The 27,563-nt window shown below is 46.5% G+C and overlaps 1 protein-coding gene and 1 long non-coding RNA gene across 13 annotated transcripts in view, besides 5 other annotated features; one reads left to right on the plus strand and one right to left on the minus strand.

The window, feature by feature from the left end:
• DRC11 (dynein regulatory complex subunit 11) overlaps positions 1-27,563 on the minus strand; it is a 200,792-nt gene that overhangs the window by 29,211 nt on the left and 144,018 nt on the right. For 9 of the 10 annotated variants that reach the window (XR_007081589.1, NM_001270584.2, XM_047445852.1 and 6 more), the window contains 2 exons: positions 8,662-8,748; positions 2,310-2,487 (listed from right to left, as the gene is read on the minus strand). Coding sequence is in view for 8 of the 10 variants with exons in the window: in NM_001270584.2 (NP_001257513.1) it covers positions 2,310-2,487; positions 8,662-8,748 (265 nt within the window). In the remaining 2 variants the exon portion in view is untranslated. Of the gene's footprint in view, positions 1-2,309; positions 2,488-7,806; positions 7,869-8,661; positions 8,749-27,563 lie in introns of all 10 variants that reach the window. The other variant, NR_073043.2, reaches the window with a different exon arrangement.
• LOC105373945 (uncharacterized) lies at positions 1,923-20,238 on the plus strand. 3 transcript variants are annotated; one of them, XR_007088138.1, is made up of 5 exons: positions 1,923-1,988; positions 14,875-15,117; positions 18,606-19,370; positions 19,472-19,577; positions 19,892-20,238. It is a non-coding gene; the product is annotated as an uncharacterized LOC105373945 (long non-coding RNA). The 3 variants fall into 3 exon arrangements; XR_001739947.3 differs by having other exon boundaries at positions 18,606-20,238; XR_001739948.2 differs by lacking the exon at positions 1,923-1,988 and adding an exon at positions 8,261-14,724 and having other exon boundaries at positions 18,606-20,238.
• Positions 5,640-6,554: an enhancer, noted in NCBI's record as "H3K27ac-H3K4me1 hESC enhancer chr2:237250178-237251092 (GRCh37/hg19 assembly coordinates)". NCBI's record gives its function as "activates a minimal SCP1, AML or CMV promoter by ChIP-STARR-seq in primed H9 embryonic stem cells {active_cell/tissue: H9 hESC(primed)}" and the evidence as "EXISTENCE:reporter gene assay evidence [ECO:0000049][PMID:30033119]".
• Positions 6,555-7,469: an enhancer, noted in NCBI's record as "H3K27ac-H3K4me1 hESC enhancer chr2:237251093-237252007 (GRCh37/hg19 assembly coordinates)". NCBI's record gives its function as "activates a minimal SCP1, AML or CMV promoter by ChIP-STARR-seq in primed H9 embryonic stem cells {active_cell/tissue: H9 hESC(primed)}" and the evidence as "EXISTENCE:reporter gene assay evidence [ECO:0000049][PMID:30033119]".
• Positions 15,785-16,286: an enhancer, noted in NCBI's record as "H3K4me1 hESC enhancer chr2:237260323-237260824 (GRCh37/hg19 assembly coordinates)". NCBI's record gives its function as "activates a minimal SCP1, AML or CMV promoter by ChIP-STARR-seq in primed H9 embryonic stem cells {active_cell/tissue: H9 hESC(primed)}" and the evidence as "EXISTENCE:reporter gene assay evidence [ECO:0000049][PMID:30033119]".
• Positions 16,287-16,786: an enhancer, noted in NCBI's record as "H3K4me1 hESC enhancer chr2:237260825-237261324 (GRCh37/hg19 assembly coordinates)". NCBI's record gives its function as "activates a minimal SCP1, AML or CMV promoter by ChIP-STARR-seq in primed H9 embryonic stem cells {active_cell/tissue: H9 hESC(primed)}" and the evidence as "EXISTENCE:reporter gene assay evidence [ECO:0000049][PMID:30033119]".
• Positions 19,851-20,436: an enhancer, noted in NCBI's record as "H3K27ac-H3K4me1 hESC enhancer chr2:237264389-237264974 (GRCh37/hg19 assembly coordinates)". NCBI's record gives its function as "activates a minimal SCP1, AML or CMV promoter by ChIP-STARR-seq in naive and primed H9 embryonic stem cells {active_cell/tissue: H9 hESC(naive and primed)}" and the evidence as "EXISTENCE:reporter gene assay evidence [ECO:0000049][PMID:30033119]".

Genomic DNA, 27,563 nt, shown 5'->3' on the forward strand with positions numbered 1-27,563 from the left:
CTCGGCTGGACAGCGCTGCCCCCTTCATCCATGTTTCTCATTCTGGCCAACATGATCTGGCTGGAGGAAATGTTGGCTTCTTCTGGGTCTAGTCCTTAAGATCTTCTGTGACTCCTCCATCCTGTCTTCCCTCGCTTCTTTGGATGCTGGCCAGGTGCAAAAGGTTCATGGGGGACGTTTTGAGGCCCTAAAAGATGAAGAAGGCACTAGATGGATGCAGAAATAGCTGGGCCTAAAGTGTTCCTGTATTTTGTGTATAACACTGATTTAGAAAGCCAGGATCACAATTTATCAAGACAGAAATAAGCACATGTTGCAAACACAGTGGCTAATAAGCTAGCTGTTTATAGCATGCAGGGAGTAGATGGTTGTTCTTTTAGCAAAAAAAACGGAGCAGCAACTTACGAACAGCCAGAGAGGACCGTATATGCCCTCTGCTTTGCGGTGCTCACGTGATTGGAGAAGGAAGAACAGAAACCAAGTCTGACCTAATCACTGTATTACTACCATTCATGCTGACCACCACCACCACTGCCACCACGGCCACCACCACTGCCACCACGGCCACCACCACTGCCACCACGGCCACCACCACTGGCACCAGCACGTCTGCTGCTCCTGCCACTGACCATCATCATCTCCAGTGTCAAATGTGACCTTTGCCACCATTCCCAACACCCTCCCCAGAGCCACCCACACCACCATCAACACAGTCACCCTATCTCCCGCCTCCTCAGCGTCACCCCACACTGCCTCCACCCCTACTGCCAGCAAGCACTTCTGTCTCCATTAGCACACGCTGTCACCTCCCGCCAATCCCCTCCACCATCTGTAACACCAACAGCACCATCGCCATCTTACCTCCAAGTCCTCACCGCTCCCCGCCAGTGCAGTGTTACGGTGGCCCCGCCACGAGCCACCCCTGTGCATTCACACCCGTGTGTCCTCGGCCTCCCTCGAATCTGGGCTGGCCCTGTGCCTTCCTCTTGACCACAGAGGGTGGTGATGGTGCCTCTGTGTGGCTTGTGAGGCTGGGTCACAAGAATCCTTTCAGCTACTGCTCCAACTTCTTGAAACATGTGCTCATGAGATAACCCGTCGTGGGACCCAGCTGCCAGGTCTGAGAAGCTGCACTGAGGCCAGGTGCAGCCTGTCCGGTCGACATAGGCCCCGCTCAGTGCCCACGACGGCCAGCAGCAACTCCAGTCACATGCGCGAGCGATCCTGGGTATCCACACTGTCCAGTCTCCAGACGAAGGAGACTCAACTTTCATGTGACTCTCACATCATGAGGTACATTAAGGAGAATGCCCCAGCTCTGCCCAGACAACCCTTGGAAGCACATGGTGGAATAACGTGCTGTTTGAGCCTTCAGGGAGGTTTTCACACAGCACTAGATAGCAGAACGGCCGCCAGCACTCTCCCCAGCTTCCCCTGCCGTTCACCACCCGTCCTTCCCTCCTCCTGCCCAGCCCACACCACCTTCTTCTCTTCCTCTACCTCCACTGCCACTGCCGCCAACACCCTTTCTCTCTGGGGGCCACATGGGGCCAGGTGCTCTGCTAACACCTCGTGAGTGTCACAGCAGCCCTGTGGCGTGAACCGTTCTCCTACTTCACAGATGAGAAGATGAAGGCTCAGAAGGTGACCGACTTGTCAGGGTCACCCAGCTATGCAGGGGCAGAGCCAGGATTCTGAGCCAGGCGTCCTGAGAGCCCCAGCCCAGGCTCCTCCTCGCTCCACTGCTTTGCCTCCCAGGGGCTCTTTTTTTGTGTCATTCCCATTAAAAAACATGTTTCAAAAGAAGTGGATTTTGAATCTATTTAAGGAGAAGGAATTGAAAAAGTAAGCTCTCGTTGTATTTTAATGTTCATTTTAAGTAAATCATTACACAAGTGGACTTTGAGACTGGAAGAAAAAAAAAAAAACCCAACCCGGTGAAAAGAAACTACACTCTATGAGGAAGACACCATCACCATGGGTGCAAGGTGAGTGATCTTAATCTACCCGTCCCAAGAAAAATCAGCACCCACAAGGCTTTTGTCACTGTCAGGGCCAGAAATCATAATCCTTGTCCAGTTTCCTTTTGTCTTGGGTAGAGAGATATATGCTAAGAACAGAACGTGACCTAGTGGTTTATATCTGCAGCACATGCTCTGTGTTGGGTGCAGGTGCACACACCCCACCGGGTGCAGGCTCCCCTCAACTCATCTGGCGCCCACCGGGTCCAAGGGCCGCCCTCCTGGCAAGCACACAGTGGACAGCCCAGCCTCAGCTATCATGCATGGGAAGGGGCTGGGGGTACTTGCCGTATCTGGAAGCATAGTCTGGTCTGGGCACCAAAATAATTTTCTGGTAAACTTTGCAGAAAGATTGGAGTTCAGCATCGAAGGGACGCCGTGTGGTCCCCACAATCAGAATCCGGTCATCTGGTTTCAGGAGTTTCAGGATTTGGGGAAGGTGTTTTTTCAGGCGTTTAGGTTCATTCTGGGAGAGAGAAAAAAAAATTGGTCCACATATAGAAAAAAAGAATGAAAAAATGAAAGAAAATTTACTTAGGATGCATTGCAGCATCCTTTGTTAAAGTGATTGCAAAGCTCTGACAAACACAATTTCTTAAGGTTTGTCCTGGGATGGGTCTCGGAATGTGCTTCCCAGTATGACCCAGTGGATTTTAATTGTCAGTGTTTCCTTTCCTCAACCTCTGGTGTCCAGATTTAGAGGGTGGGAAGGAAGGAAGCACCTTGGCCCTAGGAATGGGAAGTGGTGGCTGATTTACAAACGGAAGGAAGCTCACTCGGACCTGTAATGAGCTGTGGTGCTCCCATTTTCCTAAGTTGTTTGGAAGCTGGACACAAGACTTCCTTTGCTGATTGCTGGAACAATGAAGAGCCCAGCTCCTGCATCTCATGTCTGAAAAATACCTGGTTACATAAGGCTGTGAAACTTATCTCTCTGAAGCAGTTGGGAAATAGTTTGAACCTGAATTATTTTAGTATAATCTCAGCACTAATGAGGGAGAGGAATGAGCGAGAACAGGCTGGCTGTTCAGCACCCCAGGGAGGACGACTTCCAGCCCGTGGGAGTCAGATCTGACCATGTTGCCATGGGCAACAGCCTGGCTGCAAACGAACCTCGCCCCCAGTGCAGACAGCAAAGAGGAAGCCGGGGAAGGAGAAGCACACCAGGGGCAATGGTGAGAGCCTCTGCAGAGACTTCCCAAGCACAGTCGAGGCCATTTTTGCTCCCATTTGGCTGACGGCTAATGATGTTCCTGCGTCTTTTCATGTGCTTATTGGTCATTTGTGTATCTTATTTGGAAAAATGTGTATTTAGATTGTTGGCCCACTTTAAAAGTTGGGTTATTTGTCTTTTTATTATTGAGTTGTAAGGGTTCTTTGTAGGTTCTATTAATAGATAGAAGTCCCTCAATATTACATGGTTTGCAAACATTTTCTTCTGTTCTGTGGGTTGTCTTTTCACTTTCTTGAGGATGTCCTTTGCAGCAAAAAAGTTTTTAATTTTGATGAGTTGCAATTTTCTTTTTGTGGCCTGTACTTTTGGTGTCATATCTAAGGAACAACTGCCTAATCTAAGGTCACAAAATTTATGCCTATATTTTCTTGTAAGAGTGTTCTAGTTTTAGCCCTTATTTTTAGGTCTTTGATACATTATCAGTTGATTTTTGTATATGGCGTGAGGTAAGGGTCCAACTCTTTCTTTTGCAGGCAGCAATTCAACAGTCCCAGCATTACTTGTTGAAAAGATTATTCTTTCTGAATTGAATTGTCTTTGCACCTTTGTCAAAACGAACTGTAATGTAAGGCTTTATTACTGGATTCCTGATTCTGATCCATTGATCTATGTCTCTTCTTAGGCAAGTCCACACTGTCTTGATTGTTGTAGCTTTGTGGTAAGTTGGAAAATGAAATTGGGACATGTGAGTCCCCCAACTTTATTTTTCTTTTGAAGAATGTTTTGGCTGGATCTCCTGAATTTCTGGATGAATTTTAGGATCAGTTACCAATTTCTGCAAATAAGCTGGCTGAGATTTCATGGGAATTGCATTGAATATGTAGGCCAATTTGGGAATTATTACCATCTTAACAAGATTAAGTCTTTCAACCAATGAATACAAATGTCTTTCCATTTATTTAGGCTTCCTTTAAATTTTTCAGCGTTTTTGTAGTTTTCAGAAAAGTCTTGCACTTCTTGTGTCAAAGAACTTTGTGAGAACAATTTCTTTTATTTTTGAGACAGAGTCTCACTGTGTCATCCAGGCTGCAGTGCAGTTGCACAATCTCTGCTCATTGCAATCACCACCTCCTGGGTTCAAGTGATTCTTGTGCCTCCTGAGTAGCTGGGATTACAGGTGTGCACCACCATGCCCGGCTAATTTTTGTATTTTTAATACAGACAAGGTTTGCCATGTTGGCCATGCTAGTCTCGAACTTCTGACCTTAAGTGATCTGCCCGCTTCGGCCTCCCAAAGTGCTGGGATTACAAGTGTGAGCCACCGTGCCTGGCCCTAAGAACTTTGTGAGAACAATTTCTATAGAGTGGTGGGGGTAGCAAGCCGATGGTGGTGGGTTGAGGGGTGAGTAGGGTGGTGAGAAGAGACTTGCCTTAAAGAACAAAGCAGGTGGTGGGAGTGACTGGGCATTTGGGGTGCACATGTGAGCTGCCCAAAGAACAGTGGAAGTAGGACTGATCTGACAGTCCTGGTGAGGCTGGAGACTGAGAATCCATGGGGGTAGAGACACACCTGCATGGTCTGAGCCCACCCTCAGCAACCCAGTTGCCATGGTGATGGCAGTGTGATCCCTGCCCTTTCTGAGGCAGGAGATGACACTGTTACCTTTCTGTCCTGAAATGGCAGGGACATTTGAAATGAATCAGCCTATCTGGATGACAAACGTTGATTCTGGGCAATGTCCAGAGTGACATCCTTGCTGATGGTGAGGTGCAGTCCCATGAACAGGGGACAGAAATTGGTGTGTCATTCAACTGGTAGTTCCCCTACACTCAGACCACCCCCATTCCAGTGCAGAGCCGTCTGTTATGCACGAGACCTGTGCACTCATCCATCATGCCAGCAAACCACCCCATGATCACCTGGCCACCTCCAAAACCGCCGCCCCTACCGCGGGGCCTGCCAGCCCCTCACAACTGTATTACTTTGGGCAATTTCAAATTAGTGGCTAGCATCCACGCAGCAATTTCAATTTGCTATTCTGCAGTTAGCTCCACAATACAACCGCCACAGCCAGCCCCAAGAAAGCAGCGATTCCTTGGCAGAGGCACTATCGTGATGTCAGGGAGGCGCTTGCTAGATGAAGTAACAAAGGGTAATGGGGCAGAAAATGCAGGAGCAGCCCGTGCGCCTCATTCTTTACCGCCTTCACCTCAGATACAAACAACTGACTGAGCGCACTCGAGGCGCAGGTGGGAGGAGACGCTACTCTCCTAGGAGGAGGAGAAAGGAGCGGGCCTGGTCCAGGCGTCTGCAGGGGGCAGGGGTGTGTTTGTAAAAGTGGCAGGGGTTGGAGTGGAGGTACTTGGAGTTTGGACTTTGCTGAAATTCTAGAGGTGTGAGGGGTTCTTTCAAAGATTGCTGAGGACAGTGTGAGGGGAACAGGAGTGTGTGCAGGAGGACAGAGAATTCCGGAGTAGGGCCCATTTGGTTCTAAGACAAGAGGGCCCCAAAGGCAGGTTTTGGGATGATGTTTGGAGTGGCCCCAGGGCTCAGAGGGCCGCAGGGATGCGGTGTGGTTTAGGTGCACCAGGAGGGCTGACCCAATGGGCAGAAGGCGAAGCTGGTGGTTTCCCCCCCATGTCTTCCAGCCTGTGCTGTGTGTGGTGGGGAGAAGGCCCCATTCTGGCAACCTTGTTTCTGAATCCCAGCATGACCCGAGAGCAGCTGTGCGCCTTCTGGGAGCCTTTGTTCTCTTTTGTGTCACAGGGAAAACAATGCCTTCCTCTCAGGGTTGCCGGGAGTTTCCCTGACATATGTATTGTGCTTGGGAAAGAGGAGGTATTCAACTGATGTCCCCCACCGCCACCGGGGTCCTCCTTTTCCTGTCCGCAACAGTGTCCCTGCGCCCGGGAAGTTTGGCTTCCATGCTCGGGTGGCGTCACTGATCTTCGCCATGCCCCAATCCCCGGGTGAGCTTCCTGCCTCTTATTGCGGGAGGGGCCTCACCCAAAGGCAGAGGGGCCGGAGGGTGCATTCAGTCACTGGATTTTCAAGGGGATTTCCCGGAGTCCCTCAACCCCAGGGCAAGGTCGGCCCTGCTGCCTGTATGGCACCCGTAGCTGGTGGAGTGCCAGCCTCCTGGATGTTCTTCTCTGTGCCTCTGTGCCCTTGGGATCAGGGCAGCCTTTGGGACAGAGGCCGGGGCAGGTGGGAGGAAGGACTAGGCTCCCTAGGTGGCTGAGTGATGCAATGAGGAGCAGGTTACGATGCCTCCTGGGCTCCTCTCACCTGTGGATGCCTCTGCTGCCCTTGGCTTTTGGTCACCTTCAGAATGTGGACGTCCAATGCTCATGGCCACCTGGGGCCCTGGTGGCAGAGGATCTTGGGTGAGACACAGAGTCTCAGAGGCTGGGAAGGACAGCAGGACTGGCCCAGTCATGGCTCTGGAGACGCAGGAAGGCAGCAGGAACTCTGCAGCCCTGCTCCCTGAGGGGCAGGCCCCGCAATGCCATCACTGCACGGTGCAGGCCGAGTGGAGCTGGAGTTCCGTGTAGAGCTGGGCATGCACACGCAATGGTTTCCTCCCCCGCTCCTCTCCTGCTGCAGCATTGGAGCTGGGGGTGGAAATACTGGGGGTGGGAGGTGGAGGATGGCATTCATGCCTCTTGCAGCTCTGAGTCTGGGGTGGCTCAGGTCCCCTCGCCGGCCTTGCAGATGCTCAGGAAGCCAGGGTGCCCTTTGGCTTGCAGTCCCCTAGGACTTATCCCAGGGTGTGACTCCTGGTCCTCAGTGCAGTTGACCTCCCCAACACACGACGGACTCCTCTAATGGGAAGTGAACAGAGAAAACGTCCAGTTCATCCACAGCAAAGACCATGCCTCCAGTGGCCTTCATTTCCTACAGGGACAAAGCTAGGCATGGGCAGGGTTTGCGGGAATCGGGGATGGTGCTGAGAGGTTCGCTCTGTGTCAGGAGCACAAGGGCTGATTCAAGGCAGGGTTCCGCAGGCTCGGCTGCTTCTTCACGGCTTTCAGCTCCCTCCTCAGCGCGCCTCCTTCCCCTCACATCCACTCCCTTTATGCGAGGGTGTCTACAGGGTATATTTCATTCCCTGCCTCCAGCTTTCTCTCAGAGGCCCCCTCTCAGCGCTCCTTCCCCAGTGCTCCTCTGGCTCTCTCAGGAGGAACATTCCCGTTCCCCTTGCTCTCCCAGACTCAGATGTGCAGTGAGCAGGCAGCCGCAAGCACTGATGGCAAGCCCAGGGCACTGTGGGAGAATGCAGGGGGCTGCATGAACTCAGAGGCCGTGCGGGCTGAAATGCTTTCATTTAATAGTAAAGGAAGCGGAGGCTCAGAGAGGTTAAGTTACTTGTTTAAGGACACACAGCCAGCTGTGTGAATGCTGTTCACTGCTGGCCTGAGTTCCAGGCCAGTGTCTTCCACTCCCCAGGCTTATGTCTGGTGGGAGAGGGAGTAGCCCCTGCCCATGAATGAGCCAGGTTTCTGATAACTCCAGGTGTGTGACACGTGAGACGAAACACTGCCCTGCATTTCTCTTAGACGTGGGACCTGGTGGAGAACCCGGTCATTCCTGCCATCCATTTTGCATACCTACTTGTGGACCTTTTCAAGTTTTTCTGCAATGCAGCAACTTCGCCAGCAGAGGGAGTGAACTACAAGAGTCCCAGATTAAATAATAAATGAGTTCTCTGAAGACTTTCTGAAATGACAGGGCAATCAAGGCTCATTTGGGGAAGAAAAGATTGAGCTTCCACTCTTTATCCAAATCATCTCTACCTGCGAAAAGTGATGTATAATACATAAGGATCAAAAGTGATTAAAATCCTTATGAATTTAATCAGAAATTCACAGTTAACCACTATTTGCTTTGGTGCAAATTGATGTGGAATAACAATCTCGTGTATCTGCACATTTTTTTTAACTTGTGGGAAATTTGCTGGTGATTTGTGGGGGGAAGTGGTGGAGGAGGGGGACCATTGAAAGGAGAGAAAAGAAGGAAGGAAGCAATTGAAAAAGGACTCCCTGGAGGCCCGAATGTGGTGCACTTAGCAGTTCTGCTGAGGGTCTTTGTTCATCAATTGTGGGCCTTTTGCTATTTATTATGATGAACAATAGGAAATCCTAATAATAACTCCTATGTGTGCCATTTGCTTTAACTGAGCAGAGTTCTCTAAATTGTTTCTTACCTCTGAATCGTATGTTTGGGTGGAAAATCCCTCTCCCCTTTCTTCCACACTTTCTTTCCTTCTAAACTATGTCTCATAAAGTCAGACCACAGAACCCTTTCAAATACAGTTAGGGCAGACAGAGACCACTACAGAGAGCCCCAGTGTTTCCTTCCTCGCTTGAAAAGGCAAGACCTTCTCAAAAAGTAGAGGTAGGCCTTGGTAAGGGCCTCCTTTGGAGGAAAGAAAAGGCAAAAGTAAGGCATGAGAAAGTCCTCACCATCTTTTCTGCGTTGGGAACTTTTTTGTAGAAGGTTTTTTCTGTGTCTTCAATCCACACCACGGAGGGCTGGAGCTGTCGAGCCACCTGCAGAGGAAAAGGCAGGGCCCTGGTTGTAAATGCACTTCCCTCTCAGGTGTGCAGAGCCCTGGTTGTAAATGCGCTTCCTTCTGGGGTGTGCAGAGCCCTGGTTGTAACTGTGCTTCCCTCTGGGGTGTGCAGAGCCCTGGCTGTGAACGTGCTTCCCTCTGGGGTGTGCAGAGCCCTGGTTGTAAATGCGCTTCCCTCTCAGGTGTGCAGAGCCCTGGTTATAAACGTGCTTCCCTCTGGGGTGTGCAGAGCCCTGGTTGTAAACGTGCTTCTCTCTGGGGTGTGCAGAGCCCTGGTTGTAAATGTGCTTCCCTCTGGGGTGTGCAGAGCCCTGGTTGTAAATGCGCTTCCCTCTGGGGTGTGCAGAGCCCTGGTTGTAAATGTGCTTCCCTCTGGGGTGTGCAGAGCCCTGGCTGTGAACGTGCTTCCCTCTGGGGTGTGCAGAGCCCTGGTTGTAAACGTGCTTCCCTCTGGGGTGTGCAGAGCCCTGGTTGTAAATGCGCTTCCCTCTGGGGTGTGCAGAGCCCTGGCTGTAAACGCGCTTCCCTCTCAGGTGTGCACCTGCTCTCCCCGTGCGGCTCATCAGCTCTGCTGCACAGGCACAGAAATGTGTTCTGCAGCTACAACCTGCCCCACCACGTCCCTTCCTTCACAGCAGGACAAGTCCCCACCCCCCCCAACCGCTCCTCTGTCAGTCCTGTTCTGACAGGCAGGACAAGCTTGAGGACAAACATTCTGCTCTAGGACCTCAACATCCTCTCAGTTTGGCTTGAAAGAAACCCACAGTTTTCTGCTGAAAATGAATGGAGAACTGGGCCACGAGTTTTAATTACCGCCTCTGGCCGTTCCCGGGTTTATTCAAGTTTGCTTACCATGAGAAAAACCGTTTCAGCACTCGGGCCCCCACGAGGCTATTTGTTCATCTCTGTTTGGCTGTGCCTTTGTGGCCTAGGCTCCCCCTGAAAGGTGGCTCCGAGCCCCTCTGGACAAGCAGGGCCTCGCGACAGAGCTGGGATGGGACTTACCCTGGGCCCATGAATAATTGCTGTACACCTAACAATCTCTTCAAAGCACCCCTGTGATAGCGAAGTTCAGGTATTTTTGCAACAATTTGTGCTTTGTGCGAAATTGTGACAGATAAAAGCCATGGTGAATACAGCGTTATGTACTCCTATTTTTATATTTCTTAAAACATCATTAAGGCAGCAGGCATGATTTTAAACCAAGACAGTCATTCAGTGAGTGATGGAAAAATCGCTAGGGACACTCTACTGTGTCTGCCTCCCTGTCATTATGTACGAAGTGGCAAGTCAGGGCTATAAAGCAGATTATGCGCCTTCAAAGGCAGAAGTGGGCACTGATTGAACTGGATCCTTGCGCTGGCCCAACGCCTGGGCCGGCTGCATTCCCAGGCCCCAACACACACGGACATTCAGAGAGAAAAGAGTGCCAGCCAAGCACCATTTGATAGGTATTTTGCAGACCCAGAGTCACAGAATTTAGGAACTCAGAATCCCAAATTTTAATCGTGATCCCTGAGCCAGTGTGGTGTGATAACTGCAGTGAATGAGTTGGCAGACATGTGCCAGGCATCAGCCACCTATGTTGTGCCCAGCATCACACATGGTCAGAGCCAGCACACACCTGGCGCTGCCTCCTCCTGGAGGCCTTAGCACATGTGGAATAAACTGCTCATCTCATCTGAACCCTATGAAGCAGATAACAATGAACCATTGTTATCATCCCTGTTTGCAGACAAGGAAACTGAGGCTTGCAGACATTAATTGATGGCCCTGGTCATACAGGTCCAGTGTGGCAGAAGCAGGACTGGAGGCCAGGCTGGGGGCTACAATCTGTGCTGGCAGCTGAGGCAGCCTATGCGGGTTCCCTCATCTACTCTCACCACGAGCGTGAGGGGCCAGCCCTAGGACCTCTGCTTCGGAGCTGAGAACTGAGACGAGTAGGTGGTTATGTTACAGTGGGGAGCTAGTCGGGCATGAGCAGGGCAGGAGAAGGCTCCTTCCAATACATACACACACCAAGAATGTCAGGTGACCATCCCATGATGGGCAGGTGGTTGTTTTCTGTATTTCTATAATAATCATTGGTCACAGCCAGCACTAGCGAAAGGCAGTCTCCCAATAAACAGAAACACCGGAAGTGGGTGATCAGCAGCTTCCCAATAAGATCTCAGGGGTTGGGCGAGTGGGTTCAACCATGTGCATTAAGAGGCAAAACGGTGGAATTTAACTGGCCTATGACCTTCTAGGGACATTCGACTGGTAAGGGAGGAGCATCTCAAGTGAGCATGCGCACAACTCCAGTGAACACACTGTGCATGCATGCTCCCTCCCAAGTGCTGGCAGGCCACTGTGCATGCGGACAGCCCACCCCAAGGGAAGAATCAGGAGAGAAGGGACGCAAGACCCCAGAAGCATGCTAACATAGAAAACCCAGGCTGGAGTGCAGTGGCACGATCTTGGCTGACTGCAACCTAGAGCACGAGACCTCTCACCCTTCGTTCTGCTGAATGTGGGGGTGATCTGCATTTGTGAGCACTTTATTTTGGCCTTGCCACTAGGATTTTATTTTTTGGCATGATCAGGGAACATTTTTACACTGCTGGTGGGAATGTAAACTCATAGAGCTGCTATGGAAAACGGTGTGGAGATTCCTTAAAGTACTAAAAGTAGAACTACCATTTGATCCAGCAATCCCACTACTGTACCTACCCAGAGGAAAAGATACAAAAATGATTCTTGCACATGCATGTTTATACTTTGCACATGCAGCACAATGCACAATTGCAAAATTGTGGCACCAACCCAAATGCCCATCAACGAGTGGATAAAAAAACTGTGCTATATATATATATATATATGATGGAATACTACTCAGCCATAAAAAGAAATGAATTAACAGCATTTGCAATGACCTGGATGAGATTGGAGACTATTATTCTAAGTGAGGTAACTCAGGAATGGAAAACCAAACATCGTACGTTCTCACTAGGACGCGAAGGCATAAGAATGATACAATGGACTTTGGGAACCTGTGGGGAAGAGTGGGAGGGGGGTGAGGGATGAAAGACTACAAAAAGGGTGCAGTGTATACTGTTCAGGTGATGGATGCACCAAAATCTCACAAATCACCACTAAAGAACTTACTCATGTAACCAAATACCACCTGTACCCCCAATAACTTACGGCAAAAAAAAAAAAATCAAAATCTCAAATCTCAAATCAATGAGTAGGTTATTAACTATAGCACCTGCCAGTGGACTCGAGGAGCTAGTCTATTTCAAAGCCTAGCCAAGAAGACTAGCTGATGAGGAGAAACACCAAGCCGGGCGCTTTGCCCCCGAGCTTTCATCAATGAAACAGACAAAATGCTACAGGATAAAGGAACTCTCTCGTCTTCTCTCTTCATCTTTGATTTTTAAAAGAACGTTTAATAAAATCAGCTCTCTAGTAGATCACAGCAAAGTATTAAGTGATTCTCCAGCTTAAACATTCTGTGCTTCTACAAAGAAAGCTTTTGCATAAAATGTAGATTCGAAGGGGTCTCTGAGCTGGCAATCCGGAGTTCTAGTCAGTGTGCAGGAGAAAGTTGCCACAGGAGGGAAATCCAGGAGAAAATGTAGGGTGGGCTCAAGGGCCTTTGGAAATGGAGCTCGACGCTGTACACTGAGCTGATCTATACTGATCCCGGCTGGGCACCATACCCTCTGCTAGAGCAGCAAGGGCAGGAAGAGGAATGGGATGGGTCCGGTCCGAACAGGGTCACTCCAACCGGGAAATGCACCCAGTCAGGGGCGACAGCACCACGTGGTGTTGACAAAAACACATGCTTGGAAGTTGGAGAAAAGAGACCCCTGTGTGCAGAGTCTCACAGTAGCAGGTAAGTGAGGAGGGGGCGGAGCACAAGCCAGAGAGGGAAGCCTCTTTCTTCCCCTGACAATTCAGTGCTTCTCACTGGGATCACTAGGGGAGCTTTGGAAAGTACGACCTCCGGGTCTCAGCCCTGGAGATTCTGGTGTGACTGGGGTGTTGTCTGGCGTTAGCAGTTTTGAAAGCTCCCCAGATGATGCTGAAGAGCAGACATGGTCAGGAAGCCCCGCTCGGAAGCACAGATGTCTACTATGCACTGGCTTATGCACAGGTTCCCAAAGACCCTGCCCTGGTTTCTCTGCACTCTCTCAATACCACCTTGAGGGCTGATCTCAACCACTCTGGTAGCTTCAGCTGGCCTCTACGTGCTGACCACAACCAAATGCACATCCAGAGCTCCAGGCCAGAGTTTCCCATCCCCACATGGTGCCTGCCTACTGAAGCCTCAGAAGGCCACCTTCCCTCCCTCCATCCTGCCTCCTGCCCGTTCCCTGCGTGACTCTGCTCCTACCCAAGCCAGAGGCCTGGGTATCCACCCTTGTCTCATTCCCGACACCTAACAACCCCACAGTCTATTCATGGCACTTCCTAATCCCTTTCAACTCCAAGTCTTCCATTCTCTCAGCTCCTTGGTGCAAGCCCCCGATTTCCTTCCAACATGGCCTGGGCACTGCTGCCAAGGGATGGAGCTGAAGAGTGAGGAGGGGGCAAGCTCCAAGGGGCCATTGTTCCCTTACAGCTATTTTGAGTTTAAGTCAAAAGCTTCCCTACTTCCAGCTCCAAAAGTAAATAAGAAAATGAGACGTTGTATGTAAAAGGTTTATACTTCGTAAAGATAATTTGTAATAACAAAGGCAAGATCTTATTTTTTTTCAGTACCTCTTAAGAATCTCAGTTTTAGAACTGAATCCAATGGAGAAACCATCTTCGCATCAACAACTATCTCTTCAGATTGGATAAAGAAAATGTGGTACATATACACCATGGAACACTATGCCGCCATAAAAAAGAATGAGACTATGTCTTTAGCAAGAACATGGATGGAGCTGGAGGCCATTATCCTTTCCTTAGCAAGTTAATGCAGGAAGAGAAAATCAAATACCACTTATTCTCACTTATAAGTGGCAGCTAAACAGTGAGAATGCATGGACACGAAGAAGGGAACAGCAGGCACTGGGGCCTCCTTGAGGGTGAAGGTTTGGAGGAGGAAAATGAGTGGAAAAAATCATTACTGGGTACCGGGCTTAATGCCTGGGCGATGAAATAATCTATACAACAAACCCCTGTGACACGAGTTTACCTATGTAACAAACCTGCACACACACCCCTGAACCTAAAATAAAAGTTAAAAACAAAAACAAAAGCAACCGTCTCTTGTCTTAGCTGACTGCACTCGTGGCTGCTGTGGATCACTTCTCGCGATGTCCACGTGGCAAGCAATGGGTTTTCCATAGTGCCTATTGGGGCCTCTATTTTCTCAACCCAGATGGGAATTGCAGATGTGAATACCAAGTATTTCAGCGTTAACTTTTCTCTTTTTGCTCTTAACAAACTAAGCTGCGCAGCCTTGAAACAGGAGTCGCCCTAACTTGGAATGATTTTGAGACCCACAATCTTGTTTCCAGCATCAGATTCTAAATCAGTTGTTTTGAAAACGGCGGCTCCATTCTGTTGACTGTGAAGTTAGCGATTGTTCCTTTAACGTGTAGCTCCTTCAGAACTAATGGGGGAATTCCATGCTTCCTGAATTTTTAACACACACCTGTGAAGGAATTGCTCTCCCTAGTTCAGCAGCTTTGGGGGCACACAGGGTTGTACAGGGCACTCTGGAGTGATGTGGTTTGGAAGGGCTCAATTATTACCAAACAAGACAGAGAACGCTTCCCAAGAGTGTTCTCAGATGAGGATAACGATACAACTGACTTCATTTGCAAAGTGCTCTGGCGTCCAGGACACCATTTGCATCCTCACCGGACACATGCTCCATGTGTGCCAAGCACAGCCAGCGGCTCTCCCCTTTCACAGATGAGGCTGCTGAGGCAGAGCCAGGTGAGGGATGAGTCATGTGCTGGCTCAGCAACTGGTAAGTGCTGGAGGTGGGAGCGGGACCTGGGTCTGCCCAGCACCCACAAGCCCTTGCATGGACCAGGCGGCCGCCACACTGCCAGGGGAGATGGGATGCCTATTCCTTGACCTGTACCGCTACCTGATCCGCTACCATCTTTCATCCCAGCAGGAAGAATGCTAAAACCATCACTGTCTTGCCCTCCAGAGCTCGGATCTCTGGCTTTCCTGACCTTCCCCTGGGGAAGCTGAGGGGCCTGCTGGTCACAGGACCCCTGGTGACCATGTTCAGGTCTGGCCAGAAAGAAGATGGGCATGGAAACTGGGGCAGTGTCAAGCGGAAGCTACTTCGTCCAGGAGGGATGAAAGGGACAGAGGCTGCTTCTCTTGGAGAAAAGAAGACTTGAGGCTGGTAAGTTTGCTGTTTTCAAACGTGTGAAGGACTGCCATGGGGAAGAAAGGCAGGTTTTGCTATGTTTGGCCCTGAACGTAGAATGAAGGCTGTTCTTTCATTTCTTCCTTTATAAGACATTTACAGAAGAGCTTGGTATGCCAGGCACTGTGCTAGGTGCCAGGGTCACAAAGAGTAATAATGCAGGGTCCCTGACCTCCAGGAGCCCACCTGTGGTAAGGGAGAGCAGACCTGAGGTTGAGGGTGCTCCAAGGAAATCAGGGTGTCAGTGAGGGGCACCAATGACAGAAAGTGGGAGAAGTGGGCGGGTGGGGGGAACCAGGAACGGAGACCGCAGACAGTGGTTAAAGCAGACAGGTCTTCCGAGATCTCCAGAAGATCAGATGGTCTGGAGAGGGGGAAGCACCCTTCCTGGGCCAGGAGCCAGGGCACAGGGTGAGGTATCCTCACCTGGGGCACATGGGGAGCACCTGGCACTTCTGGAAGGGGTCAGAAAAGTGCACGGCCATGCTACAGAGGTTGCTTGTATCCTGGAGGCTGTGGAAGTCCTGGAAAGGACTTTAATCAAGAATTTTGATCCTTTTTATGTTACAGAAAAATCCCTCTTGGGAGTGTGTAGAGGAGGATGTGGTGGGAGCTGTGCTGGCCTTGGGGAGCAGGCAGGTGTGGGCGGTGGGCACAGTGAGGACAAGGCCCAGGCAGGGAGGTGCTGCGGGGCTGCTGTGGGGAGAAGATGAGAGCCCGCAGCGGGGGATAGGCAGGGCAGGATGGGGAGGGCAGGACTGGCCAGCCTCAATGACAGTGGGTTGTGGGTTGCAGGAGGGGTCTCGATGCTAGATGCCCAGTGGATGGTAATGAGGGGGTCAGTGCCAGCTGCCATGAGCCCCTGGGCAGCAGGGCAGGCAGGGAGGGCTGCTGGGGCCAGAGAAGAGGAGAGAGGCAAGGGCAGAAAGGGCCTCCGAGGCCACAGCAATGGCAGTGGACGCCTCAAGAATGGATGGAAGGAATTCTCGAGTAAAGGGGGACAGTAGATGAGGCCGGGAGAGGGTGACAGAGAGCCCGGGGCCACACAGGGAAGACGATGATAGAGGAGGAGGTCCGGGCTGCCAAGGGGCAGCAGCCGTGGATAGAAGGGATGGGTCTGGAGCGATAGCTAGCCTCGAAGCCAGGGGGCCAATGAGCAGGAGGGGGGCGGCCAGCGGTGGCCTGTGCTGGCCAGAGAGTTTGGTAATGAGGAGGTCACTGGTGGCCTTGGCGGGGAGTGGAGGGAACAGAGCCAGGTGACAGGGAGAGCTCCTTCACAAAGACGGGCAGACAGTAAGCCTGGGGAGGACGTGGCGCATGGGGTAGTCAGTGCCCAGGAAATGTCTGGGGATAGCGTGGGCTAGGGACAGAAGGCAGGAGGATGGGCTGGGAGGAGAAGGGCTCATCTTCCTTGCACCACAGACACTGGGGGATAGGGTGGCTGCTGCTGCAGGAAGTGTGCAGGCCAGACAAGAAATGTTGGCAGGCGCATCTGCTGGGAATAAAATCTGCCCTTAGAGTTTGTGGAAAAGCAGTGTTCTTTAGTAAAAATCTCAGAATATACTGAATGGCATAAACAACACCTCTTCTCCCTCCACCTAGAATCAACCGTTGAACACTTCCTGTCCTTACAGATCCTTTACGAAAATGGGATCTTGTTCAACACATACTGCTTTACGGGCTGCCTTGTTCATGTCATATGAAAGTTATTTCTCCGTTATCATTTTAACAGGAAGCACCAGCATTACGGTTCTAATTAATCCCCTGGTTTTGAATGTATAGATGGTTTCCATCTTTTACTACCCCAAATAGTACTTATTTAGGGCACCTGGCTGAGAATTTCCTTAGAATGACTGCCAGGAGAGGCTTCCAGGTGGAGGGGCCTGGACATTCTGTGCGTGTCGTTTTTATGCGTACTGTCACACTGCCCCCCCAGGGGTTCCATCTGTTTACACTCTCCCCAGGAATAAATGAGGGCTCTGGCTCTCTACACTCTTCTCCTCGACAAGTATTAATAGTAAAAAACTCTCTGCCAATTTGCTAATGAAAAATGGTATCCTTTGCTTTTCTAATTTTCATTTAGCTATGAAAAGGCTTCATTTAAATTACCCACAGATAGTTTGAGGTCACGGACAATTACATTAATTAATTCGTAATTGAACTTTCCAGAGTTCTGTCGGGTAGTTCACGTCACCTGCCAGTAGAGGGCTCTTCGCTACTATCAAATATCACTAGAGGGTTTTTGTTGTGTGTCAATTATGAAATAAAGACAAATTTCCACCGTGTGCCTTTTCAAATTCTAGGAAGTTCTAGCAAACAACTAAAGACGTCTCTATCCACATGCATTTTATGGGCTTGATCTTTTGTATTTTCCAAAGAAACACTGTCAAACATTCACCATCAGAATTAGATTCTCAGGGGATAATGGCTCAATTAAAACCTGTTTGTGTTTCGGCATGCATGGGTTATGAAGATGCTCTGCCCAGATGACCCCTGGACGTTTTGGAGGTTCTCTCTGAAAGGATCCTATTTTGCTTGCCAAGGAGAACTGCAGGAAAAAAAACAGCTACTATTTTTTTCAGCTGATGTGTCTCGGCTGAAACTCATTCATTCATTCATTCATCCCACACATATTTACGGAGCATCTGAGAGCTCTGTGGTGGGAAGCAGGGGTGTCTGGGAGTTGGGAGACACGGTCCCTGCCTGTGGAGGGTGCAGCTGCCTGTGTCTGAATGGGTGTCGCTGAGTGAGGTGCTGCGGGGTTAGGGGTTAGGGAGGGTGCAGGGGCGTAAGGCTTATTTGCAGGGGGAGGGGGCTCACTTTCCCATACTGTGGTCACTTGGATTCTGTTTAAATACTTCATATGACATTTTGGCCTGCATTTCCACTATTTAAAAATTACATTTTAAGTTTCTATTTCCTTGTAATACCTTTTATGTACTTGCGGAGGTTACTTCAAGTCCTCACTGCAATTAGCTGGATATAAACCATAGATGATCATCAAAAGAAGGGCAGAGGTATACTAGAATGAGAAGCCTGGCTGGGCTGGTAAACTGAGGCAAAGCAAAGAACTAGAGAGGAGCTGGGATGCAGGGGCTCACAGGAAAGACTGGGCACAGTAACTAGGAGGGGACATGCGTGTATGTCTGTGGTCAATGTGTGTGTGTGTCAATGTATGTGTGTGCATGTGCGTATGTTAGTATGAGGTATGTTAGTGTGCACATGTGTGCGTGTGTGTGTATGAGTTTATGTTAGTGTGTACATGTGTGCATGTGTGTGCATGTGTGTGAGTGTATTAGTGTGCATGTGTGTGTGTGGGGGGCAGGTTGGTGCTAGTAACAGGAACATGTTGATGCAATTAGTGCTTATCCAGACTGTGTTCAATGGGAAGGTGTTGGATGGTGGGGGGCGTCAGGCTTACAAACCACCTGAACTTAACTCTTGAAGCCCCGTCTCCTCCCCAGCCCACTGCCCACCACACTATGGCCAATGAATTCTCGCCAGGTGGAATGGACTCTAGCCAGCTTGGAGAAGCCTGTGTGCAAAGCCATTCTCAACTTCCCAAGGTACCTCCATCGCCCCCACCCCGAGTGTTTCTGGGTTGCCTAAACATTTTGAATGCTCGTGGCATCAAACCCTGGTCCCGCCTTGTCCCCACTGCCTGATACACAACACCTGCGGATGCCACTCTGTGTTTTTGGTGATTGACAGCCTGCAGAGTGTGTTTCCACACCTGACTGACACACAGTGCCCGGGGCCTCCACAGCCTGATGCCCTCCCTGTGTGGGGTGCTCCCTGTCGTCACTGGACAGGTGGAGTGGGACATGTATCCCGGGTCCTGGAGAAGCCTGGCTCTCTTGTTGCCTTCCTCCTGGGAGTCCCCTTCCCACGGCAGCCTCTGACACAGCTGGACCCGGCTACATGGCCCACCCTGGTCTAGGGGCCTTTCTTTTGTGTTCTTTTTTCTCCTTCTTTCTTTGCAGGTGCATGTGTCTGAATTCCGAGAAGTTTCCTATGTGTCGGGGTCTAGGCTCCCTCCCCACCCTGGGCCCCTCCCGGGTGTCTGGTTTGACGTGGCCTCCCAGGACTGACACCGATGTTCCAGGCAGGGGAAACAATGGCAGAGGCCTCGTTGGCCGTACAGACGCCGGCATCCCCACCCACAGTGGGTTTTGATGGACTCTGGGCGCTAGTGAGGTGTCTGTCTGTGTTCCTCACTGTAGCACATGGTCAGTGTGGCCCACTGTGGGGCGGGGAGAGTGGGGAGGCCCTGCCTATGTGGGAGCAGGCTATGTGGGCGCTCTCTGCACTTTCTCCTCCCTTTTGCCAGGAACCGAAAACTGCTCTGAAAAATAGTCTATGTAAAAAAGAAAAGGTTCTGCAGCCTATGTGCATGTCGCTCCTCAGCCTGCAGCTGCGTCCGCACGCAGTGGAAGGTGAGCCTGGCCTCTTCATGGACGACCCACTCAAGACTCAGGGCACTGGCCTCCCACCGTGTCCATACCCGAGGCTGCACTGGAGCCGCTAAATCCTGTGTCCCTCTCCCCATGTCCTTACTCCTCTCTTTCCTCTCCCCCTCCTTTTTGATTAGCCCTGTTTTAGGGGCCAGATGTAGGCCTTGGGTTATCCTTACTGATATTCACCTTGTAAAATGAGACTAACATATGTATTACACTAATTGTACATCTCTCTCTCTCTCTCTCTCTCTCTCTCTGTGTGTGTGTGTGTGTTTTAAATCAACCACAAATAGCAGCAATGTCTTTGTCTGGGTTATTAATCAGGAAGAGAAGTCTTCTTCTATGAGCTACAGAAACATACCTTTTATGAACTACAGAAATTGGCCAGGCACCTCTGCTGACACCTGGACTAGCTGTCTACACCACCACACACCACATCTGGGCAAGAGCCCTTGGTGTGCTGCCATAAGGCTGCTGGCTGTGAGCCCACAGAGGAGCCGGGTGGATGGTACTGGGGCACAAGAGCATCGAGGGTCCCTTTTGTCCAGATGCTGCAGACCACTGTGGGCCACGTGTCCTACAGCTGACACTGCCTCGGCCCCGTTCTCCCAGGTCCTCACTCTAACTCAGCCCTCAGGGGCCAGGTCACCAAGCAGAGGGGAGGAAAGCAGAACCTAAGAATGTCCAGGGGCAGAGAGGGCCCTCGACCCAGATCCAGGGGGCCGCTGAAACATTCTCTGCTCCAGCCTCCTTCCCTGCGCCCTGCCCTGGCCTTCCCTTGCCTGTCTAATGAGAGGTCTGGAGGGCGGGGGCCATTCTCACTGGCAAGGCGGATACAGGAAGAAGCAGGATGGCCTTCAGTTGCTTCATCTTCTCACACTGGGATATTCCCAGCAGACCCGCTGGCCCAGGAATGGCCTTGCCCCTGTGTCTTGTGGAGGGCACATCCTCCCACAGGGTGGGGCATGCGGAGCCGATGCTTCCCCAGAGGCCAGCTGGGGGGCCACGCGACGGTCTTGGGGCCTGACCTAGCGTGAAATCCAGAGGTCAGACCTCTGGTTCTCTTGCATTTTTGTTGACATTCAGCACTCTGAGTGTCACTTTTCTCATCTGTAAAATGGGCACGTTAATTCCTACCTCATCAGAGCTTTCATGCAATTAAAAGAGAAAATATGTGTAAAACGCCTTAGCATGTGCCTGACTCCAGGGCGGAGGTCAGAAAAAGCCCTTCCCGCTCCGCTGTCCCCTGGTTTACTATTATACAGACTCAAGGAGACTGGTACCTGGGGGGTGGCGGGGGTGGTAGGCAACAGCCCTGCCTTATAACTTCTTTCACCTGTGAAATGTTTATTGCATGTTCATCATTTGTCAAATATTTATCAAATATTTATACTTTTTATAATATGTATATTTATATATTATATATATTCATATATATTTATATATTATATATTCATATATCATAAATATATATATTATATATTCATATATTATATATCTATATATTTATATATTCATATATTATATATCTATATATTTATATATTCATATATTATATATCTATTTATATATTCATATATTATATATCTATATATTTTATATATTCGTATATTATATATCTATATATTATATATTCGTATATTATATATCTATATATTATGTATTCATATATATCTATATATTATATATATTCATATATATTATAAATTATATTCATATAGTATATATCTATTATAAATGTATATTCATATAGTATATATCTATATATTATAAATATACATATATTATATATTTATATATTATATATTCATATAGATCTATATATTATATATATTCATATATGAATATATATATTATATGTATATATATTATAAATATATTTATATAGTATAGATATTATATAGTATATGCATATTTATATTATAAATAATTTACATAGTATATGTATATTTATAAATTATATATATTTACATATTACATGTATATTTATATATTATAAATACATATTTACATATTATAAATATATTTATATATTATGAATATAATTTATATATTATTACATATTTACATATATGCATAGTTATATATTATAAATATGCATTTATGTAAATATATATTTATAAATATATAAATATGCATATAATATGTAAATATATAAATTATATTCATAATACATAAATATATATTTACAATATGTAAATATCTGATATGTAAATATGTATTTATAATATATAAATATACATATAATATGTAAATATATAAATATACATATACTATGTAAATATATGTTATATATACATATACTATATAAATATAGAATATATAAATATACATATACTATATAAATATGTAATATATAAATATATACTATATAAATATACATATACTATATAAATGTATTTATAATATATAAATATACATATACTATATAAATTCATATATGAATATATAATATATAAATATATATAATATATGAATATATACTCATATATAAATATATATGAATATATATTTATAATATATAGATATAATATGAATATATATTTATAATATATAGATATATATTATATGAATATATATTTATAATATATAGATATATACCATATGAATATATATTATACACTATATGAATATATATTTATAATATATAAATAGATATATACTATATGAATATATAATATATATACTCTATGAATATATAATATATATACTATATGAATATATTATATACTGTATGAATATATAATATATAGATGTATACTATATGAATATATAATATATAGATATATATACTATATGAATATATATAATATATAGATATATACTATATGAATATATATGATATATAGATATATACTATATGAATATATAATATATAGATATATATTTATGATATATGAATATCATATATAAATATATATGATATATGAATATATATCATATATAAATATACATATAAAAAGTATAAATATTTGATAAATATTTGACAAATGATGAACATGCAATAAACATTTCACAGGTGAAAGAAGTTATAAGGCAGGGCTGTTGCCTACCACCCCCGCCACCCCCCAGGTACCAGTCTCCTTGAGTCTGTATAATAGTAAACCAGGGGACAGCGGAGCGGGAAGGGCTTTTTCTGATCTCTGCCCTGGAGTCAGGCACATGCTAAGGCGTTTTACACATACTTTCTCTTTTAACTGCATCAAAGCTCTGATGAGGTAGGAATTAACGTGCCCATTTTACAGATGAGAAAAGTGACACTCAGAGTGCTGAATGTCAACAAAAATGCAAGAGAACCAGAGGTCTGACCTCTGGATTTCACGCTAGGTCAGGCCCCAAGACCGTCACGTGGCCCCCCAGCTGGCCTCTGGGGAAGCATCGGCTCCGCATGCCCCACCCTGTGGGAGGATGTGCCCTCCACAAGACACAGGGGCAAGGCCATTCCTGGGCCAGCGGGTCTGCTGGGAATATCCCAGTGTGAGAAGATGAAGCAACTGAAGGCCATCCTGCTTCTTCCTGTATCCGCCTTGCCAGTGAGAATGGCCCCCGCCCTCCAGACCTCTCATTAGACAGGCAAGGGAAGGCCAGGGCAGGGCGCAGGGAAGGAGGCTGGAGCAGAGGACGCTTCAGCGGCCCCCTGGATCTGGGTCGAGGGTCCTCTCTGCCCCTGGAGGTTTTTAGGTTCTGCTTTCCTCCCCTAGTAGACTATATATAGTAGACTATATATACTATATATATATAGTCTACAAGTAAATAGTCATTTACTTGTAGATACATTTCTTAAAAAGGAAACGCTTCCCCTCACCCCTCACTCATTATTCTATTAGTTACTGTTTGTAAAATAAATCCTCCAAACACAATGATCACAAAATGGATTTGAATTTACAGTTGTGAAACAAATCGGAGACTCATTTTCCCTGCGTGCTTCCACGGTGCTGTGAGTGAGGCGAATGCCACCTGCCTGAAGTGAGAAATGACAAGCATTTCCCTGTAGTTGCATTGTTTACCCTCCCGAGATTAACTTGGTAACAGGACTTCTCTCTAGGAAGAATCCATGAGGAATCAGGCCCTTCTGTTATTTCACCTTCTCCTGCAAATGCCATGAACCATATTTTGCTGCTCTTGAGCCACAGCCCGTGTTCTGCAGCTCACACGGCACAGTCAGGCCCTCCAGCTTCCTGCCGTCAACGTACCAGCACAAGCATCCTGTCCTGCTTGCCTTTGGTTAATTAAAAGCAAATACCTCTTTGCAGTGCAGATAGCTGCTCTGTCAGTCACACTGGGACACGGTGGCCTCACCGCACACAATTTTTAATTGATTGACTCCCACTCCTGAGACCTCTGGGTCTTTCATTAATCAGTTATATACACAAGAAAGGTGAAGTTTAATGAGGTGTGTGTCAGGCACTCTGACATGAAGTGGCCCAGGTGGGTGAATGTGGTGCTCCACATTTTAATAATTTTTGACACCCAGCATTTTGCAGTCCACACAATGCCAGTTTGTGATAATTCTAATAAACGCAAAGATCGCTTATCTGGTATCAAGACAAAATCTCTCAGCAGCAGGAACAAAGACTTTCCTAGAGTGAGAACAGAAAGATCACATCCTTGCTCTGTCCTAGATTCACACCAGGAGCTACTAAGCTGTTTGGTGAGTCAGAAAATGGATACTTAATTCAGCCATTCAGCCCTATTTCAGTGAGCGGCCGTATAATGCAGTTTTGAAACTTGGAGGCTCTGGAGCCAGACTGTGTGAGATCCTATCATTGCACTGCAACCAGGAAAATTACTAAAATGATTTGTGCCTCAGTTTTCTTAACAGTAAAATGGGTATAATGAAAGTGTCTACCTCATAGAGTTGTTGTAAGGACTGAGTGAGTTAATACGTAGTGATGTATGCAACAGTCTGGGATATATAGATGCTTACGAAACACTAATATTTTTATATTTATGTGCTTCTGTCTGTTACTTGACAAATGTCAACAAAATTTGATGTTTAGAATGAACAAATGCAGGTGTTCTTTTGGGCAAGAGGAAGGGTTCATTTTACCTTTCCTCTGAAGAACTTAGTGCTTACAACTTGGTAGTTAAGCACATGGAGGCCACAAGTCAGGCTGCCTGGCTTCAAATTCCAGCTCACCTTCAAATCATTGGCTAACTTTAGATGTGTGCTTGCGTGGGGAAAGATTCCAAGCTCAGTGAAAAGCAATAGATGAAAAACAGAGAACGCAGCACATTCCTCAGCTACTGCCAAGTCAGAGGAGCTTGGTAAACAGGATTTCCATTGAAACTCTGGAGTAAAGACCATATTCCAGGACTAAGAGATTTGCTTTGGACCACAGACGAAGTCAAAATAGACCCATATTAACAAAATGGAAAACGAAGTCTCTGCAAGTTCAAGCTGATCAGCCAGTAATTTAACTGCCTGCTAGAACAAAGCCCCGCTTGCTTCAGAGGCTCCACAACGTACCATCCACAATGTCTAATATACAATAAGAATTATCAATCAGATGAAAAACAGAGAAATGTGACACATGGTCAAGGGAAAAGCAGTCAAATAGAAATAGGCCCCATGATGACCCCGTTTTGAAATGAGCACATAAGGACTCTAAGGCAATTAAGTTCAAAGACTTGAAGGAAAAAGATGGTCATATGAAATGGGCGGATAGAGAACTACAGCAGAGAAATGAAAACGAGTAATAAGCAAATGTAAGTGCTAGAACTGAAAAGCAAAAGATAAGAAGATCAGAAATAAAAAATAAGAAGATCAGAAAAAAGAAAATTTGTTGCCAGCAGATCTTCACTAAAATAAATGCTAAAGGAAGTTCTTCAGCTGAAAGGGAAATGATACCAGGTGAAAACTTAACTTGACAGAGACAAAGAGAGTACTAAAAATGGCAAATATATGGAGATGTATAAAAGAGTATATTTCTTCTCTCAATTTTTTAAAAAGACAAATGACCATGAAATGCAAAAATAACATTCTATTGTGGTATATATAACATTTATAGATGTAAAATGTATAATAAGAAAATGAAGGACAGAGATAATAAATGGATTATGTTGTCACAAGATTCTCATATTTTATGTAAAATACCATATTAATTCTACATAGACTGTGATAAGAATGACTACAGTAATCCGTAGGCCACCACTAAAAAAGAAAATAAAAAGAGACCAAAAAGAAGGCAGGAAAAGAGAAGTTGAATGAAAGAGGAATGAAACAAATGGAGAACAAATAGCAAAATGGTAGACTGAACTCAATCATCTAAATAATTGCATACAAAAATAAACGGAGCAAATGCTCTAGTTAAATGACATATGTTGTCAGATTGAAGAAGAAAGCAAAACCCAACTATGTGCTATCCATAAGAAATGCACTTTAACTATAAAGACATAGACATATTGGAAATAAAACAGCATAAAAATATACCGTATACACTCAGCATAAGAAAGCTGATGTGGCTCCATTAGTATCAGACCAGGTAGATTTCAAGACATGGAGTATTTCCAGGACAAAAAGGGTCATTTCATAATGATAAAATAATCAACCAGGAAGGAAGACATAACAATCCTAAACGTGGATGTATCTCATAACAGTGCTTCAACATATATGAAGCAACTGACAGTACTACAGGGAGAAATACAGAAATGCATATAGTTGGAGAGCTCCTCAAAATTCTCAGAAATTTTGAAATACTAAAAAATATGAAATTAACCTAAACAATGAAATGAACCAATGAAAACAATAACCCAATGAAAGGTACAGTTGACCCTTAAACAACACTCATTTGAACTGTGTGGGTGCATATATACACAGATTTTCTTCCATCTCTGCCACCCTTAAGACAGCAAGGCTAACTCCTCCTCTTCTTCCTCCTTCTCCTCAGCCTCCTCAATGTGAAGAAGACAAAGATGAAGACCTCTATGATGATCCACTTCCACTTAATGAATAGTAAATAGATTTTTCCTTCTTTATGGTTTTCTTAATAACATTTTCTTTGCTCCAGCTGATTATAAGAATACAGTGTATAATACATACACCATACAAAATACGTGTTATTCAACTGTTTCTGTTATCAGGAAGACTTCCAGTCAACAGTAGGCTATTGGTAATTAGACTTTTAGGGAGTCAAAAGCTATACGTGGATTTTCAACTGCACAGGGGATTAGCGCCCCAACCCCTGTGTTGTTCAAGCATCAACTGTAGGTAAATGACTTGAATATAAATTTCAAAAAAAAGTTGTACAATGACCATAAAGTGCATGAAAATGGTGGTTACACATTGTATACTCTACAGTTTCCTCTCTGAACGCCTTCCTTACAAGCATGAGAGAAAAGGAGAGTGGGATGTCCTGAGTCGCTGCAGTGGGAGGGACCACGTGGCTAAGGGAAGAAATCCTACTGCTGTCGCTCCCTAGTTTTTTGGTGTATTAGCGTGACACTAAGGAGACATTCCTGTCCGTTTATCATTCCTGTAAACTGCCTCGTTGATGAGCATCTCTCATGCTTTACAGCCCCTTAGAAAGCAGATACAGAGCCAACACCTAGCCTCCAATATGGGACAGTGTTTGCCACCATGTAGGCTTTGATACAGTAAAAGCTGGCATGGCAGCAACTGAAATGAATAGCATAAGGCTAACCTGGAGGTTCTCAACCAAGTAGAAATTAAATTTTGTAAAGCCTTGATACTAAATATAAAATATCTGTATCAAAGTTCTTTCAAACGCATTCATTTTGTGATGATAAAATGGAGACCCAGGGAAGCTAGGAGCTTAGCTAAGATCACAGAGCTGCTCGGATCCTGTGATATCAGCACGTCTTTACATTACTCTGGTCGGCTTAGGTGCCTGCAGGCTTTTCCATCACACCTGTGTGAGGAGTGCACAGAAGCACAGAAGGTGCCATACCTTGGCAACCCATGTCATGTGAGGAAGAATCCAAATAATGCAAATATCTCTACCT

This window comes from Homo sapiens, chromosome 2, assembly GCF_000001405.40.
Source record: "Homo sapiens chromosome 2, GRCh38.p14 Primary Assembly".
NCBI lineage: Eukaryota > Metazoa > Chordata > Mammalia > Primates > Hominidae > Homo > Homo sapiens.